General features: G+C 39.0%; 1 protein-coding gene across 15 annotated transcripts in view, besides 1 other annotated feature; it reads right to left on the reverse strand.

Annotated features, from left to right (window-relative positions):
• CIT (citron rho-interacting serine/threonine kinase) overlaps window positions 1–13,021 on the reverse strand; it is a 191,530-nt gene that overhangs the window by 50,710 nt on the left and 127,799 nt on the right. For all 15 annotated transcript variants that reach the window (XM_011537788.2, XM_011537787.2, XM_047428134.1 and 12 more), the window contains one exon: window positions 5,911–5,964. In XM_011537788.2, the coding sequence (XP_011536090.1) occupies window positions 5,911–5,964 (54 nt within the window). The remainder of the gene's footprint in view (window positions 1–5,910; window positions 5,965–13,021) is intronic.
• Window positions 11,651–12,850: an enhancer, noted in NCBI's record as "P300/CBP strongly-dependent group 1 enhancer chr12:120185956-120187155 (GRCh37/hg19 assembly coordinates)". NCBI's record gives its function as "activates an origin of replication core promoter dependent on BRD2, BRD4, P300/CBP, MED14 and CDK7 cofactors, with strong dependence on P300/CBP, by STARR-seq in HCT116 cells {active_cell/tissue: HCT116}" and the evidence as "EXISTENCE:reporter gene assay evidence [ECO:0000049][PMID:35650434]".

Below are 13,021 nucleotides of genomic sequence, written 5' to 3' on the forward strand. Positions count from 1 at the left end.
CTTTTAGTGTATGGTCTAATGGTCTAGTAATTTGCTTTTTAATGTCAAAAGCCACATTAATTCCTATGTACGATTTTGAAGTACACTGTCAGCTACAAGAGGGGGAATAAAAGTTATCTGGTCAGGTTCTTAGCTCAGATACATTCTTTATCAAGGAAGACAAATAAGGAAAATCTGTACGTTTGCCATTCCTAACAGACACTTATGACTTGCAGGGTCCCTGCCTTTCCCTTTCTGTGGCATGTTAAATCTCCTAAAACCAGAAACAATGAATAAACAATGCCCAGTAGTTCAACTGGTCTCCTTCCTGTACGTAGTAAACCCATTCCTTAAGATGTTTTTCATAATGTCTCCATTTAACTACTAATTCCTCCCCCTACCTCTTTCCCAAAGAAAAATAAGACAGGCAAGCTGGCTTGGAAGATATAAAATGGATTCTGGAACCCCCAATAAGCCATCTGACCTTTGCTGGGTTGGTTTCTTCATCTGTGACATGGGAGTGAACACTATATTTACTCATCTGCTTTTACCTTTTTAATTATTTTAATTTTCTTGCATGTTATTTGACCTTAATGCATCATGTAAACATGAGGTCAGGAGATCAAGACCATCCCGGCTAACACGGTGAAACCCCGTCTCTACTAAAAATACAAAAAATTAACCAGGCGTGGTGGCGGGCACCTGTAGTCCCAGCTACTCGGGAGGCTGAGGCAGGAGAATGGCATGAACCCGGGAGGCGGAGCTTGCAGTGAGCCACAATTGCGCCACTGCACTCCAGCCTGGGTGACAGAGCAAGATTCCATCTCAAAAAAAAAAAAAAAAAAAAAAAAAAAAAAAAAAAAGCCTCTTGGGGAATAAATAGACTAGACTATAGAAAGTCTACTCACATGAAAATACATCATTGCCAAAATAATTTACTTGCCATTCAAGGATGTACTTAAGACTTTGGGTACCTGCTTTCTTTGATTCACGAAAAAAATGCAATTTATCATTTGTGATGGTAGCCCATTTCTGCCACCTCTTCGTTTTCTCCCAAAGTTATATTATAAAATGCTAAAGAAGAAACACTTGAAAAAGGGCAATTTTGTATCACTCAATTGAGATGGGCCCATTGGAATAAGAAGGGTCTTTCTATTTCCCTGTTGTCATCCAGTTTTCAAGGGTTCTCACGCCTCTAATTATATTTCCGGTTTGTGATTGCTGGTTCTATATTTGGTCATCATCTCTATTTTGCCCATTTGACAAGAGAAGTGTTACATGTTTTTGTAAAGTACCCATGCCGAGATTGAAGGCATTTTAATTGATTTGGACTTTTTATACACATATTCTATCTACCCAAGCCATAACACATTTAGCTTGTGACCTTGTTTCAAGTTGCTGGAGTCATGATATTAAACGTTGGACACACCCACACACACACACATACGTTACTGAGTTTACAGATATTAAACTGACTTATGACATAGGCAGTAAATTAATGGTCTTCGTGGATTTTTTAAAAAAGGCATAACAACAGGCAATGTTCACTACTGTCCTTTGAAGTAGGTATTATTTTATTTCTATTTTATAGATGGGGAAATTGGGGAAACAGAGATGCTAGGTAACTTGCCCAAGGTCACTGCTAGTAAATAACAAAGCCAGAATTTGAACCCAACACTAAAACTCAAGAATCTACATTCTTGCCCCCTGAACCATACTGCCTGTCTAAAATAGGGATAGAAGTGTTTATTCACTTTTTTATTCAGATCTTTGAAAACTGAAATGATGGAGGTAAGATATATTGACCATTCAGGACAACCCCTCTTGATTTTGATCCAGGGAATGTGCAAGGAAAATTGTTAGGTCTACTTTCTGGTCCTGGGTATATTCTCTACCCACCAAGGACAAATGATTTGTTTACTATGAGTCTGTTAACCTTTTAACCCCAAAGATAGAGAGTAAAAAAGAGAAACTGAAAGGCTGATTCCATCTTAGCAGCAAAAAAAGATGAGCAAAATATCTTCACAACGCAGGCGCCAGCAGAGCTTTCTTATATGCTGTTTTTACAGATGAGAGGTCTTGGTACAGTTCTAAGACAGAAGATATTAAAAAAAAAGATCTAAGCTGGACGTGGTGGCTCACACCTGTAATCCCAGCACTTTGGGAGGCTGAGGCGGGTGGATCACCTGATGTTGAGAGTTCAAGACCAGCCTGACCAACATGGAGAAATCCCGTCTCTACTAAAAATACAAAATTAGCTGGGCATGGTGGCACATGCCTATAATCCCAGCTACCCAGGAGGCTGAGGCAGGAGAATCACTTGAACCTGGGAGGCGGAGGTTGTGGTGAGCCAAGATCACGCCATTGCACCCCAGCCTGGGCAATAAGAGAGAAACTCAATCTCCAGAAAAAAAAAAAAAAAAGATCTACTCTCAGTGTCAAAAAGAAAAAAAAACAGCTCTGTTTGGGCTTATCTGTTGTTTTTCAGTGCTATCATGGTTCTGAGAAGAAGATGTGAACCTCTCACACCTAACTGGAAGACCAGGAGAGGAAAATTACCAGGTAAAAGTCCAATGGCATGTTAGGGGTGAAGAAACCAGTCAGATAATGAGCATCAGGCTAAACAGACACAGGACTGAAATCCTATTTTAATGCCTGGTTCTCTTCTGAAGGCAGCTATTTGCATATTATTTATTTTTAATCTTATAGCTGACAGATTGATTCATAATTAAAACTGTGTCATATGTTTGCCCACCAACTCCCCTCTAAAACAGACTTAGGTAGGGTTTTAGGTGCCAGATTGAATCAAATCCTTTTTAAATGTCTTCAAAATATAGAAATGGTCTGAGCTTGAAAATCTTACTGTGCATGAGCTTTTTGAAAGCTGAAGAGAGCTCCTATCAATTGAGTTATTATGGGAGTTGTGGGAACTCCCATAATAACTCATTTTTAAATGACAAAGATGACATTTCCTAGCGGAGACAATCTTGGGCAATGCCAAGAAAGAAAGGAACCTCCAACACACTCCTCTGAAGTGTCTTTAAAGCGGTCTTGAACTTGCAAAAGTATAATTGAGACCTACTATTGTGGCCAAATGTTGTTCTAAAGTAGTGGTATTCAAACTTTTTAAAGTAGCAGCAGAGCCATTTTCCAAACAAAAGATTATATTATAAGCCCAGGAGAATAAAATAATAGTAGTAACCAATGTTGTTTAGTACTTTCTATGGATCAGGCCCTGTGCAAGCAGTTTGCACGTATCTCATTTAATTCTCGCAGCAACCTTATGAGGGAGGTACTACTACCAAATCCCATGACTCAGTGTTCCATAAGTTGTATTGTTTCTGAAATGTGGATACGTGGTATACTGGAACCAGCAGCTCTCTCTCTTCCCTCACCCAGCCCCCAAAGAGCAGTTATTAAATAAATTATGCATCCTACAATCAATGAGCGTACTGATTGGAACTGAGGGTATACAATGTTATCTCCATTTTACAGACAAAGAAACAGAGGCTTAGTAGGATAATACACGTAGGTTACTAAGAGGCCAATTTATAATCTGAACTCTATCTGATTCCAGAGCCCATGACTTAGACTACTAAGTTACCCAGCTCCTCTGGCTGAAATGTGGGTGAAGGGCATCTCTCTCAGGTTCACACACACACACTTGGGAAGGCCCCCATAGGCTTCGCCACAGAACACAGAGGTAAATGAAGCAAAGATTAGAAGTCACCGTTCCAGAAATGCAAATTTGGAGAGCATTAGAGTTACATGAGAAAGTAACCAAATGCATTCTACATACTAGTGTATTCCACTAAAACTAAACTTCCAGTTTTTAAAATGGGGGACAAGATGAATTACAAAGGGGTATAAGGAAACTTTTGAGGGTCATGAATACAATAAATATTTTGTTTTTATCGCTCAAGGATAAAATTTGGATAACCTTATTATCCAAAATAATAACAAAATTCATTATTTTGATTGTTTTGCTGTTTCACAGTTACACACACATTTTAAAACGCATCAGATTATAGTACACCAATTATACCTCAATAAAACTGTAAAAAAAAGTTTTTTAGAAAGTTCTTATGCCAAAAGACTGAAAAAGGAAAAAAGAACTCCAGATGAATGGAACAGGATTACTAATGCACACATTTTTTAAAATCCAAGCTTATATAAGGAAAAAATAGTAATATAAAAAATTCCAGTCATAAAATGATCTACATTTTATTCAGTGATCATTCACGCGCATGTATGTAATATAAGCAAATAATTCTTGTGTAAAATAAGAAACGAAGACAACAAGAAACTAAAATCCTAGGGCAGAAAACTACCAGAATGTCACCCCCCAACTCCTCAAGGAAGGGAGGAGGGATGGAGGAAATCCACAGACATTTTAAGGCAGGCCCATCCCGATCCACCACCACATCAGGAAATACAGACCAAAAAACTGGTCTGTCAGTTCCCTACTAAAGTCAAACAGAGGCAAATCTCATGACCTAGTAATTCTTGGGGATATGTTCACCAGACGTAAGTGCTCACAGCCACCAAAGGCCTTGTGTAACGGGGTTTCCTAACAGCTTGATCCATTATGGAAACAATCCAAATGTCTACCAACAAGGAGAATGGATAAACAAACTATAGTTCTATTCATACACCAGAAACACCACACAGTGATAAAAAAAAAAAAGAACAAATTATTGATAGGTACAGCAACATGGAGGAACCTCACAAAACATTTAAGCGAAAAAAAAAGCTAAGCCCCAGAGAGCACATCCTCTGTGATTCCATTTATATGACATTCAAGAACAGGTAAGACTAAACTATGGTTATCAGAGGTCAGCATAGTGGTTACCCTTTGGGTGAAGGATGATGATGGGAAGGGGACATGAGGGAGCCTTCAGGGACTAAGAAAGTTCTGTATCTTGATCTACATTGGGGTTACCCAGTTGTCTATCTGTGTAAAAATTTTATTGAGCTGTATACTTAAAATTACTACATTATTATGTGCTTTACTAGATACATTTTATATCTAAATTAAGAAAAAAATACCATTAGGACTTAATATTTCATTTACAGTAGCTAAAGAGGAAAGAAAGGGCTCATAACAAGAAAATAAAATATGTATGTGTGTGGAGGCTGGGAGGTGTCTCTGGAAATTCACAAATGCAAATAATACAAACAAGGACAAGATCACTGAGGACTAAGAAGGTAATAAAGTGACAAAAAGGCCAAAGAAAAGAGAGGGCACATGAATAAGGAGAACATCCCCATCTTCTGAAAGGGGCCTATTTCAGTTCTTCACTCTCATCAAAAATAGACTGAATTCCCACTGACCCTACTCTATTATATAACCTATGGAAGATGCTTATCCACTCATAGAATTTACTTCTCTCAATATAAATAACATCTCCCAAAGAGTCCTAGATTTTGAATTTGCATGTTGGGAAGCCAAATTTTGCCTGGTAGAAAGTTACAATTTCTAGGTCTCCAGGAGAGCTCACTGGTCTTTCCTCCGCAGGGGCAGCAATCTGGACAAGTCTCACAGATACAACTGCCCTGGTGACAGGGGAGTCTCTGACCTGGGCTAGCCATGGAACCTTCTACATTGGGACAGGAGGTGGAACTGCCTTGGGATTTTTGTTGCGGCTGCTGAAACCTATTAGTTGTTCCACTAATAGAATTATTTTGACCCTTCCAACTATCCTCTTCCCCAAAACATGAAGAATGGTTTCAGTTTTTGAAAACTGGAAGAACCCCCAAAAACAGGTTATCTAGGGCTCAAAAACTCCAAATAAGGTTGATTGCATTATCTTCTTCAAGCTGCAAGTTCGTATCAAAACTCAGTCACCAATATTTTAAAGAGACGTCCCCTTTTCCTCCTCTGTTTTAGTTTCATGTTATTTTAATCGTCTTTGGGTAATTAATACTCACAGTACAGCTGTTACGAAGAGCATCAAATTTGCGCTGGATTTCATCTCTATGTGCCTAAAAGGTAAGAAGTTGATTATAAATTTTTCATAGGGTAGAATACAATTCTACATGCTACGGGTCAAATATAGAGAATAGCAATTTGCCTGGAAAGCCGAGAATGCGGCACCAGCATCTGTTTTTCTAAGAACTAATTAATCAAATCATCCCCAACACCAGAAATAAGTTACAGGAATACACAATGCTGTGTTAATAACAATTAATTCTTTAGACCATACATGCACACCCTGTACAAATATTTTTAACATTTATATTAACACCTACAGGCTATTAGGAGAAAAGGGAAAAAAAGCAATAAAGGATGAAGTTTTACTCTCCTTCATTTGTCCTATTCCCATTCTGAAAAGATGAGTATTTTCCCTCTTCCCTCCAACTGACTCCTCCCCAGCCTACTCCCTGACACACACACACACACACACACACACACATACACACAGAAACGCACACACAGGACAATAGCCAAGACAAAGGGACTTTGTGTGTGTGTTGTTTTTTCATTAAAAGCTGCGGACATTCAGAAAACTCTACATCGGCCTTGAAATAAATATATATAGGCTTTCTCCAGGAAAAAGCTGCCTTAAACCAGCAGCATTTTTTCAGTTGACAAGGACTTTTTTAGTGCATACTATATGCTTGACACTGTGGAAGGATATAGGCATCCATGACCCATGCCTTCATTCTGGTGACGGAAGATCGGAAATGAATAAGTGCGTGATTAGAGATTGGGACAAATGTTATAAAGAAAACAAATAGGGACCAGTTTAAAAAAAAAAAAGGAATAAGAAAGGTAGGTAGAAACTTACTTAGATGGGATGGTCAAGGAGGGCTTCTCTGAGGAGGTGGCATGTAAGCTGAAACCTATAGGATGATGAGGAGCCAGCCATGCAATGGACAGGAGACGGCAGAGGGAGCAGCATTTGCAAAGACCCTGAGGCAGGAAAGGGTCTGGTGCATTTGATGAACAACAACAACCAAAAAAACTGAGTGGCTAGAGCAGAGTTTTTCAAACTGCAAGCTGTGACCCAATAGCAAGCATGACAAGTGGGGTTTTTTGTTTTGTTGTATCCAGTGAAGTAGAATAAAAAAGATAGAATTGAAAACATCAGAATGTGCCTTGAGGAGTAAACATGAGGTCTGTTATAGGAAACTTCTGCTTTAGATACTATAACTAATCAAATTTAAGGTACTTTCCATGGTAAAACCTAATTTTATGTAACATTAAGAAAGAAAAAGTGCTGTTAAACTATGACATGTTTATGTCTGTATATGACTGTAATATGCACCTTGATTTCAGATGCCTTAGAAACAGTGAAATACAGTATATATACTCCCTTCTATTGGATTGCAAGTAAAATGTATTCTGTGGGTTGTGGTCAACTTTTGAAAAAGCACAGCAAAGAAGAAAAAAAAGTAGCCCAAGATGATGACAGGGACCAAGGCAGAGACCAAGAATCTTGAAGGTCCAGTAAAGAATTTAGGTTTCATTCAAAATTCAATTAATTGAAAACCAATGGAAAATTTTAAGAAAGAAAGTGACGGATTTTACTGTTGTTTTAAGATCACGGTAGATGTTACAGGGAGAAGAGGATCAAAATAGAACAAAGGTAGAACGTAGCAGGGAAACCAATGAAGGTACTGTTACTGTCATTCAAGCGAGAGATGATAGTGGCTTGGAGAAGGATGGTGGCAAAAACAAACAAACAAACAAACCAAACAGAGAAAGTGGATGAAACTGAGATCTCCTTTGAAAACATAAGGAAAAGGACTTACTGATAGATGTGTGGCCAAGAGGAAAGAGGAGTCAAAGACGCCCTAACAGACTTTTCACTTGATAGACAAAGTGGATATGGTCCCATCTGCTTATGTATGAAAACCCAAATAAGAACCCAGAACCCAGTTTAGGGCAGATGTAAGAGTGATCCTTCTATTTAATTATAAAAAAAAAAAAAGTCTCCATAAGAAGGTCTATAGGAGGCCAGGCGCAGTGGCTCATGCCTGTAATCCCAGCACTTTGGGAAGCCGAGGCGGGCAGATCATGAGGTGAGGAGATTAAGACCATCCTGGCTAACAGGATGGTCTCTACTAAAAAATACAAAAAATTAGCTGGGTGTGGTGGCAGGTGCCTGTAGTCACAGCTACTCTGGAGGCTGAGGCAGGAGAATGGTGTGAACCGGAAGGCAGAGCTTGCAGTGAGCTGAGATCACGCCACCACACTCCAGCCTGGGCAACAGGGCGAGACTCCGCCTCAAAAAAAAAAAAAAAAAAAAGTCTATAAGATAACTGAGTCAAAAATTTTAGAGCTGTGATGTTTTTTCTAATATGTCTATTTTTCCATAAATACTATTGTCAGTTTATAATGGCAGATTAGATACTTTAGAAGAAAAGATTAGTGAACTTGAAGACAAGTAGAAACAAAGAAGTAGAAGACAAGAAGTAGAAACCAAAATGAAACACAATGAGAAAAGAAAAAGGCATTTTCAAAAAATGCAGAGCATCAGGGAGTTGTGGACAACTTCAAGTAGCCTAACATACATGCAATTAGAGACCCAGAAGGAGTACAGGAGACAGAAAAAATATTTCAAGAAATAATGGCCACAAATTTTCCAAAGTTGATGAAAGCCATAAACCCACAGATGCAAAATATTCAACAAGTAAGTACCAAGCATAAGAAATGTGAAGAAAATTAACCTAAAGCACACTATAATGAAACTGTTTAAGTCCAATAATAAAAAGAAAATCTTAAAAAAAAAAAAAACAGCCAGAGAAAAATACATGTTACATTAAGAGAAACAAAAATGAGAAAGACAGATTTCTCACCAAGATGGGGAGAAGGAGTGGGCATGAAAAGCTAGAACACAGTAAAGCAATATCTTCAAAGTGCTGAAATAAAAAACAGAAGAAACAAGCAAAAAAAAAAAAAAAAAAAAAAAACACCTGTCCACATAGAATTCTATACCCAGCAAAAATACCTCTTAAAAAATGAAGGTAATATAAAAACTTTTTCAAACATACAAAAGTTGAAGGAATTTGACACCAGCAAACCTGTGCTATAAGAAATGTTAAAGAAAGTCCTTCCGACAGATGGAAAATGGCAACCAGAAATTTGGATCTACACAAATGAATGAAGAGCCCTGGAGAGATGGTAAAACAAAACAAACCAAAAATAGATTAGTTGCTGAAAATAGCCAGAAGAGAATTATAACGTTCCCAACACAAAGAAAAGATAAATGTTTGAGGTGATGGATATCCCAATTACCCTGATTTGATCATTACACATTGTAGGCATGTATCAAAATGTCACATGTATCTCAAAAATATGTACGACTGTGATATACCAATAAAAAAATACATAAAATACCAAAAATAGATAGTTGCATAGACAGAATCACAGACAGATTTATAAATAAAAAGTTATTGTTTAGAATTGACTTCCTAAATAACTAGCCTATATTCTATGGACTAATTTAACAGATCTTAATTTTTTTTCTAAAAATCTACCTGCTTTTTGCCCAGCAATAATGAGAGATTTATTCCTTTGTTAAGATAAGAATACTGCTTACCCAAAGTAAGACTGTGGCTATCTGCACTATGTCAAAATCTCATCTGTGACCAAGCAGCAGCCTAGACCCAAGGACCACACAACCCCCTTTAGTGTCTTCCATGATCACCAAAAACCAAAGGCAAGGATTCTTCCTAGAGAAAGAATAAGGCCCTTATGTTAACAGACTCTTGGTCAGGAATCGGCAAATTTTTTCCTTAAAATGCCAGATAAGGAAATTTCCTTAAAATTTCCAGAGTATCCAGTCTTGGTTAGAACTACTTAACTCTACCCTTCTAAAGCAAAAGCAGCCACAAACGATATGTAAACAAACAGACATGTTTGTTTCTAATGTGTTCTAATAAAACTTTATTTACAGAAAACAGTGACAGACTAAAATTTGGCCTGTAATTTGCCAGTCTCTGCTCTAAATGACTATTTGGTGTGAAATCTCTCAAAAACAGAAACAGGAAGCTGAGAGTGGAGTTAGCTCCTTCAAAGCATAAGTGGTGACCATAAAAAAGCTCACTGGCTTATCCACAGGGACAGAAGCCCTATTCCACTTTCTTATTAACAGCAAAGTTTCAAATAACACAGCACCATTAAAAACTCATTTAACTCTCCCACTGGAGTCTGAAATTTCAGTCATTAATACTGATCCATTTCCATTAAAATTAACCATTATGGGGACTTTGGATCATGTCAAGCAATCCTCTCTGAAAGTTAACATAATGAACCACAGTCATTATGGCTTTTGATTTATTACTGTTTATGAAATATAAACACAAAATGTAGAACTGACCCTGTTGTGGTTGCTAGACCTACTGTAAGCACTTAACTACTGAACTAGTCACAGTAAGAAAATGGTAAGTCATATGCTTTATGTTTTTTGAAATAAGTTATAAAACAAATACACAAAAAGGCAAAAGCTCATGCAATAGAATATATACATAAAGACAGCAAAACGCATAAGACAAGCTTTGGATGCTCTCAATGAAATGTGTGAGTGTTAATTAGATATTAGGTGCTACAGAGAATAAATATCTACACTCTTAAAAATTACTGAGGACCCCAAAGAGCTCTTGTTTATGTAGTATCCACCTACACTTGCAACATTAGAAATTAAGACTGAGATGGCCAGGCACAGTGGCTCACACCTGTAATTCCAGCACTTTGGGAGGCTGAAGCAGGTGGATCACAAGGTCAGGAGTTCGAGACCAGCCTGACCAACACGGTGAAACCCCTTCTCTACTAAAAATTTAAAAATTAGCTGGGAGTGGTGGCGCATGCCTGTAATCCCAGCTACTCAGGAGGCTGAGGTAGGAAAATCGCTTGAACCCAGGAGGTGGAGGTTGCAGTGAGCCAAGATCGTGCCATTGCACTCCAGCCTGGGCAACAGAGGGAGACTCCATCTCAAAAAAAAAAAAAAATTAGGCCTGGCGCAGTGGCTCAAGCCTGTAATCCCAGCACTTTGGGAGGCAGAGGCGGGTGGATCACAAGGTCAAGAGATCGAGACCATCCTGGCCAACATGGTGAAACCCGTGACTCACTAAAAATACAAAAATTAACTGGGCGTGGTGGGCGAGCACCTGTAGTCCCAGCTACTCGGGAGGCTGAGGCAGGAGAATCGCCTGAACCCAGGAGGTGGAAGTTGCAGTGAGCCGAGATCACGCCACTGCACTCCAGCCTGGCAAGAGAGTGAGACTCCGTCTCAAAAAAACAAACAAACAAAAAAATTAAGACAGATATTTTTCAAATATTTATTTTTTATTTCTTTTAAAATAACACTAACATTGCTTTTGCACCATCAGTGCAAATATTAACACAGTGAAAAGTGTTAAATGACATCTTAGTATTGTTATGAAAACAGTCTGACAGGCAGGCATAATGGCTCATGTCTGTAATCCCAGCACTTTGAGAGACCAAGGCAGGCGAATTGCTTGAGCCCAGGAGTTCAAGACCAGCCTGGGAAACACGGTGAAACCTCTTCTTTACAAAAAAATACAAAAGTTAACCAGGTGGGTGGCGAGCACCTATAGTCCCAGCTACTTGGGAGGCTGAGGTGGGAGTATCACTCTTGAGCCTGGGAGTCAAGGCTGCAGTGTGCTGACATTGCACCACTGCACTCCAGCCTGGGTGACAGAGTGAGACCCTGTCTCAAAAAAAAGGAAAAAAAACCATCTGATCTTGGGAAACCCAGGAGTCCACAGATCCACTTTGGGAACCACTAACCTAGGAGTTGGGTGGCAAAAATGTGGACGGACAGGTTGCAGCCAGTCTGCCCCTAAGACCAGAGAGATACTTTCTTTTGGAAGTATTTATGCCTTAATTTTCAGGAAAGTTACAAGAAGAAGAAAGAAAAGTAAACTACAATGTAGCCTTGAGGGAGCAAAATATCTGCAGAACTGAAGAAAGGAAACAAGCGTGTAGATGTCTGACCACCTTCTGGGATCCATGGTCAGGATTCTAGAACGGTTAGGCTTCTGTGCACCCACCCCCTTTCAGGGTGAAGGCAGGCACCAGGCAAGAATGTCACCTTACATGCCCCGATTTCACATCTTGGCTATCATGCCGATGGCTTACTAATTAATTAAACAGAGGGCTTGATATTTATGTACGAGAATGAGAACGTGCACTGACTCATGATTTTAACAAATCAAAGAGGATGACTTTGGGATCCCATCATCACGCTATGCAGGGAGAAGGATTCCTTTCATTAGTGTCTCTAGCTTTCAACTCTTGATTATTCAACATTAGTCACTTGACAGAATCGGTAAAAGAACAGAGGAGTGAAAACACAAAATGTGTTCATGAGGCCTGGCCGGTGCACACAGAGCACACAGCACGCCTCTTGCCTGGTGGTCCTCTTCAGAGTGATGCTTATACCACATCACACATCGTGTGCTATAAGGTGTGCAGACTCAAATTATCTCCCTTGAGATGGAGTCTTAAATATCAAGTTCAGGCTGAAATGTCTCTTTTCCAGCAATAAGTACGGAAGTATCTTAAAAGCATGTTTCTGTTTAAATTTGACAGGATGGGTGAAGTGAAAGTGGAGAAGAGGCAAGCATTAGAAACGGCAACAAAGGCCTCCCAGCTGCACCGCCAAGACCCTTCAGTCGAGAGCTTTAATTTAACTGTGCTCCATCTCATTTGGCCCAGGGATGGAGGCCAAACAAGGTAACTGCTCCCTTTCACAGGCTAGGAGATGACTGCCTCTTACAATTAAACAATCATAGCACATTTGACTATTCCCTTTTATTGACAAAACAGCCTGCTGTGAAACTCACAAATCTCCTAGGCGATCATTATAGATCCAGCTGATTTCATTTGACTGATGCTTGTGCAGGGTCTCCACTCAGGTCTCAAACAATGAGAAAGTTGGAAAGTATGGCATTTTGGGACCATTTTCGCTTTTTCTTGGAAAAGACGTTTTTCAGAACAAATTCAACTAACCCATTCAGGCAACAAACACATGCTGTCCATAACCAGGTTTATGGAACATAATCAAGAGAA

The sequence above is a fragment of the Homo sapiens genome, chromosome 12, assembly GCF_000001405.40.
Source record: "Homo sapiens chromosome 12, GRCh38.p14 Primary Assembly".
Taxonomy (NCBI): domain Eukaryota; kingdom Metazoa; phylum Chordata; class Mammalia; order Primates; family Hominidae; genus Homo; species Homo sapiens.